This window comes from Homo sapiens, chromosome 21 (assembly GCF_000001405.40).
Source record: "Homo sapiens chromosome 21, GRCh38.p14 Primary Assembly".
Classification (NCBI taxonomy): Eukaryota; Metazoa; Chordata; class Mammalia; order Primates; family Hominidae; genus Homo; species Homo sapiens.
In genome coordinates this window covers 8,986,605-8,992,573 of record NC_000021.9, presented here as the reverse complement: position 1 = coordinate 8,992,573, position 5,969 = coordinate 8,986,605, and the positions used below count along the sequence as shown (strand labels likewise).

Sequence of the window (5,969 nt, the reverse complement as noted above, 5' to 3'; positions counted from 1 at the left end):
GGCTGACTGCTGCAGAAATCAGGGGAAGGCTGGAGAGAAGCTGGGAGACAGAGTAGAGTCCTGAAGTTTGGGGGTGAAGAGGTGAAAGAAATGGGGGAGGGTGGCAGTAAGTTCTGTGAGTTTCTAGGTGACTCCTGGGTGTGGGAAGTTGACTCCAGCTGACATCTGGAGATGGTTGGAGAGTAAATGAGAGAGACAGAAGAGTCCTTGAGGGCTGGGGGTGAAAACATGAGTCAGTGATATGGGTGAGATTGGTGGTGTGTCGTGGGTGCCTGGAACTGACTCCAGCTGGAATCTAGAAAAGTATTCAGAGTAGCTGAAAGAGATACTGTGGGCTGAGGGCAAAGACCTGAGGGAGACAAGGGAGGACCCCAGTGAGGTTTGTGAGTCTGTAGGTGATTCCAGAGTGTAGGAGGCTGAGTCCCGCTGAAATCTGGGCTTGCTGGTAGAGTAGCTGGGACAGACAGGAGAGTCCCAGGGGGCTGGGGGTAAAGACATGAGAGAGACTGGGAAGAAATTGAATGAAATAGGTGAGTTTGGTGGTGATTTTGGGGTGCCTGGAACTGACTCCAGCTGAAATCTGGGCGTGGGTGGAGAGTAGCTGGGACAGAAGGGACAGTCCCTGAGGGATGGTGAAGACATGAGAGAAACTGGGGAGTAACGCAGTGAAATTGGTGAGTTTGGTGGTGATTTCTCGGTGCCTGCAATGAACTCCTGCTGAAATGTAGGCGAAGTTGGAAAGTAGCTGGGACAGACAGGAGATTTCCTGAGGTTTGGAGATAAACACGTGGTAGGGACTGGGGAGTAACACAGTGAAAGTGGGGAGCTTGGTGGTGATCCCTGGGATCCTGGAAATGACTGGGGCTGAAATGTGGGCGTGGTTGGAGAGTAGCTGGGACAGACAGGAGGGTTCGTAAGGGCTGGTGGTGAAGACGTGAGAGAGACTGGCGAGGATCTCACTGAGGTCTCTGACTTTCTAGGTGTTTCTGGGGTGTGGGAGACATAAAACCACTGAAAACTGGACATAGTTGGACAGTAGCTGGGACAGAAAGGAGAGTCGTTGATGGGTGGGGGTGAGCTGCTGGATGATGGCAGTAAGAACATATGGTATATAATTGATGAACGAGGTGACTGTGAAGAATCTCCAGAGGAGGACACGGGAGAACACAATGACATGAGTGATTGTAGTGATTGGTTATGAAAGGGAAAAGTAAAGTTGTGAAATTCTGTCGATGAGGGAGGTGAGAGTGGTGAAGCCCTGTGAGATGATGTAGAGTACTTCCACATCCCTGGTGAGGAGCTGCCCCTTGGGTATGAGTTTCTGGGAGGGGAGAGGGAGAAGCTGGCTGAGGCAGGCATGAATCTTGAGGAGTCAGGGCTGGTGGACCGCTCATATTCTCCCGAGACTGTGGGTCTCTGTGGGACTCCTGGGTGCATGGGGCTGACTCCCGCAGGAACCTGGGGATGGCTGGAGAGTAACTGGGAGCCACAGGAGAGTCCCTGAGGCCTGGGGGTGAAGAGATGAAAGACATAGGGGAGGAGCACCGTGAGGCTCATGAGTTTGTAGGTGATCCTGGATGTGGGAGGCTGACTCCAGCTGAAATCTGGGGTTGTTTGGAGAGTAGCTGGGAGACAGAGGAGACTCCCCCAGAGCTGGGGGAGAGTTGCTGGGTGATGGCAGTAAGAACATGTGGTACATAATTGATGAACGCGGTGACTCTGAAGAATAATCAGAGGATGACATGGGAGAGCCCAATGGCTTCATTGATTGCCCATCGCGGTGAGGACAGGGAAATGGGAGCTTGTGGGATTCTGGGGATGACAGAGTTGAGTGTGGAGAAGCCCTAGGGGATGGTGAATGGTAGCTCCGGATCCCTGGTGAGGAGCTTCCTCTTAAGTCTGAGTTACTGAGAGGGGAGAGGGAGAAGCTGGGTGAGGCTAGCATCATCGAACTTGGGGAATCCGGGCTGAGGGACTGTTCACAAGAAGAGCCAGACAAGACCCTACTGTTTTCAGGTGCAGACAGGATTACAAAACCTGAAGCTCCCAGGGACCCCAACAAATTTTCAAACCCTGAGAATGAAGGAGTGTGTGTGAGTGTGAGAGTGTCTGTGTGTGTGTGTGTGTGGTGTGAGGTATGCGCTCCTTAAGAAAATGGAAAAACCAACCAATGAGACAGACAGACAGACTCACTTAATCCAAGTGTTCTGTCCAGTCCTCTGAATCCGACTCCAAGTCGCAAGACCCTGTGAGCTACAAGTCCATGCAGAGCTGGCAAAATGCTCCGGCCGCTGCTCGGCTCTGTGAAGATCTGAGTACAGGCCCGTCAGGGTGGGTTTAAATAGCATCGCGCGCAGCCTAGCAGTGGAAAGGGCGACGCTTCACTCCTCCTTTCCATGAGTCACCCACAACTTAACCAGGAAACACCTCGTAGGAAACTATTCTCCTGATTTGATTTCATGTGCCACCTTTGGGACAACTTAAGAACTTACAAGTTTTCTTGACCAAATATATTATGAATTAAATGCACTGAAACACTGAAAACCAACTAGTGGTTCTGAGGTTGTCACATTGTGCTTTTGACAACGGCAGCATCCTTTCAACCCTCAAAACACGGAGATCCACAGATCTGTGTTGTAACAAGCCCTCCCCCTGACCATGATGCATGGCGGTTTAAGAATAACCCGTGTAAGCGAAAAGACTTTGAAGAGGTGGAGATATGCCTTGTATAAAACATTCTTTTGCTCTGGAACCAGGTAGAGACTTAGGAGCCAATTGGGAGGAACCTTCTTTGGATGAGGGTGCTCGGTTTAGCAATATCAAGGTGTGACTCCAGATAATTCAATCATCTAATTAAGATTCCAGTTACGCTAATCTGTTTTAAAATTCCGTTTGTGCAAATTCTTTTACAAAGCCTCAACCCCAATTCCCAGGGAGGGTTCAGAGCCTCAGGTTGAGTTGATGACCAACAGCCTATAGTTTAACCCATCATGCCTCTAGAGTGAGGTCTCCAAAAAAATCCAAAAGGAATGGCTGTAGAGAGCTTCTGGATAACACTAACTGGAAGGTAGAGTGCCACTCCAAACAAGACGGGACCAAAAATTTTTCTAAATTTTTTGCAATATCTGCAACAATAAAATGGTAAATGTAATGGCCTCCCTGCGTGTTGTGAGCTCTTCCAGCAAATGGATGCAACTATAACAGGGAGTGGTGGAAACCTGATTTATAACCAGCTGCTGAGAAAAGCAGCTAAAACAACGTAGGGCTTTCCATTGTTATTAATGGGAGGACAGTCTTGCAGGACTCGGCCCTTTGGAATCTAATGTTATGTCCCGGTAGATAGCGTCACCATTGAATTCAAAGACACACATATGTTGGGAATAATTTTTCTGGTCATTTGCTGCATGTCTTATTTACAATATGTAATCAAATTCTTTACCCTGACTTTATGGCACCTGGGTTAAGAACCATGATTTGAAGGAAAAATTGGTCTGTCATTTTCTGAGTTTGAAAAATTGTTTTCCCGCTAGCGGTTTGCTATTGCTTTCTGGTTTTCTTTTGTTTCGTTCTGTTTCTAAGTTCTGGGGTATATGGACAGGATGTGCATATTTGTTACTAAGGTAAACGAGTGCCATGGTGGTTTGCTGCACCTGTCAACCCATAACCTAGGTATTAAGCCCAGCATGCAACAGCTGTTTTTCTTAACGCTCTGTCTCCCGAAAAGCCCCAGTGTGTGTTGTTCCCCTTCCTGCGTCCATGTGATCCCATTTTTCAGCTCCCAATACAAGTGAGAATGTGGCGTTTTGTACTCTTTTCCTGGATTAGATTTAAAGTGGACTCATTCCAATTACAGGGCCTCGAAAGAGTCCTGTATTGTTATTTTTCGTCACTACCTCCCCGGGTCGGGAGTGGGTAATTTGCGCGCCTGCTGCCTTCCTTGGATGTGGTAGCCGTTTCTCAGGCTCCCTCTCCGGAATCGAACCCTGATTCCCCGTCACCCGTGGTCACCATGGTAGGCACGGCGACTACCATCGAAAGTTGATAGGGCAGACGTTCGAATGGGTCGTCGCCGCCACGGGGGGCGTGCGATCAGCCCGAGGTTATCTAGAGTCACCAAAGCCGCCGGCGCCCGCCCCCCGGCCGGGGCCGGAGAGGGGCTGACCGGGTTGGTTTTGATCTGATAAATGCACGCATCCCCCCCGCGAAGGGGGTCAGCGCCCGTCGGCATGTATTAGCTCTAGAATTACCACAGTTATCCAAGTAGGAGAGGAGCGAGCGACCAAAGGAACCATAACTGATTTAATGAGCCATTCGCAGTTTCACTGTACCGGCCGTGCGTACTTAGACATGCATGGCTTAATCTTTGAGACAAGCATATGCTACTGGCAGGATCAACCAGGTAGGTAGGTAGAGCGCGGCGAGGCCCCGACGCGGCCGGACGGCCGGCCGGGGGGCCTCGCGAGGACGGGCCCGGCGCCCCGCAAGCGAGGAGGACGACGGACGGACGGACGGACGGGCCGCGGACGGGCGGACGGGAGGGAGCGAGCGGGCGCGGGGGCGGCGGCCGGGACCGGTGGGGCCGGGGCGGGGCGCGGCGAACCGGACGCCCCAACCACCCGCCCCCCACGCGACACGACCACCGGGGCCCCGCGCCACAGACCCGCGACGCTTCTTCGTCGCGCCCGCCCGCGAGGAGGCGGACGGCCCGACCCGCGCCCGGCGGCCGGGAGGGACCGGCGGCCACGCGCGCGCGCGCGCGGCCGGCGCCCGCGGGCGGCGGCGAGGCGGGGACGGCGCTCCGCCCGCCCCGCGGGGCGGCCCCGACGTCCGGGCGGCGAGCGAGAGGCGGACCGCGGTGCCCGGCCCGGGGACAGTCGCGCCGTGCGGCCGCAGCGCCCGCGCACCGGTCCCGGTCGAGGGCCCGGGGCCCGGCCGAAGCCCGGCTCCGAGCCCCGCCGGCGGGCGCGGGCGCAGGGGTGGCACACGCCACACGACGGCCAAGGGAGGGCCGACCGAGGCCGGCCGGCGCGCCCGCCCCCGCCCGGGACGGGGGACCGCGACCGGGGCCGAGGCCCCGGCCCGGGCCCCACCCCCCGACCCGGGGAAAGGGCGAGCGACCGGCAAGGCGGAGGTCGACCCACGCCACACGTCGCACGAACGCCTGTCCGGGAGGGACCACCGGGCCGCGCTCGGGCGCACGCGCGCGCCGAACGGGGCGACGCCACGCGGGGAGGACGGGCTCTCCCCGACGCCGACGCCCGGGACGGACGCCTCGGGGAAGGGCCGCGGCAGGCCCGGGAAGCGAGGCGCACCCGGGGGACGCGCCGACCCGGTTCGGAAGAGCGGGCCGGGAGAAGACGAGAGACCACGGGCGAGGCCGGGGCGACGGGGAAGGCGCGAGAAAGGCGGCCGGCGGGGAAGGGGACGCCACGGGGACCCCTCGAGCGCGGCCGACCGCAGCCGGGACACACGCGCGGGGCCTCACCGCCGCCGGCGGCACCGCGCGGCACCCGGGGCGGCCGACCGGCCCTCGGCGATCCCCGCGGCTCCCCCCACCACCGCCGCCGCAGTCGCGGCCGGTCCCCCGGAACCGTCTCCTCCCCCGCACGCGCCGCAGGCCGACCCCCGGAACCCTCCGGGAAGCCCACCGGGCCCCACGCGGGGCGCCACCAACCCGGTCCCCAAGGCGCGCGCCGGGGGACGCGGACGCCGGGCCGATCAGTGGCCGGCGGCGGCGCCCCACGAGGCGGTGCCGGGTTCGGTCCCAGGCGGGGCCACCAACGGACGTGAAGCCGGTGAGCCGCTCGGGGGGAAGAAGAGGATCGGCGGGCGGCGGGCGGGGAAGAGGGCACAGACGGGCGAGGGCCGGGGACCGTGAGGGCAAGGGCACCCGGGAGCCCGCAGAGGCGGCGGCTCGGGGAGAAACCTCAGGCACGGCCGGGCCACCAGGAAAACACGGCCGCGGGATC

The 5,969-nt window shown here is 58.2% G+C and overlaps 2 non-coding genes across 2 annotated transcripts; both read right to left on the bottom strand.

Moving 5' to 3' along the window:
• Positions 1 to 4,908: 4,908 nt before the first annotated feature.
• Positions 4,909 to 4,957, bottom strand: MIR10396A (microRNA 10396a). The gene has a single exon (NR_162105.1). It is a non-coding gene; the product is annotated as a microRNA 10396a (primary transcript).
• A 438-nt stretch (positions 4,958 to 5,395) lies between these two features.
• On the bottom strand, positions 5,396 to 5,575 carry MIR3648-2 (microRNA 3648-2). The gene has a single exon (NR_128711.1). It is a non-coding gene; the product is annotated as a microRNA 3648-2 (primary transcript).
• Positions 5,576 to 5,969: the final 394 nt, after the last annotated feature.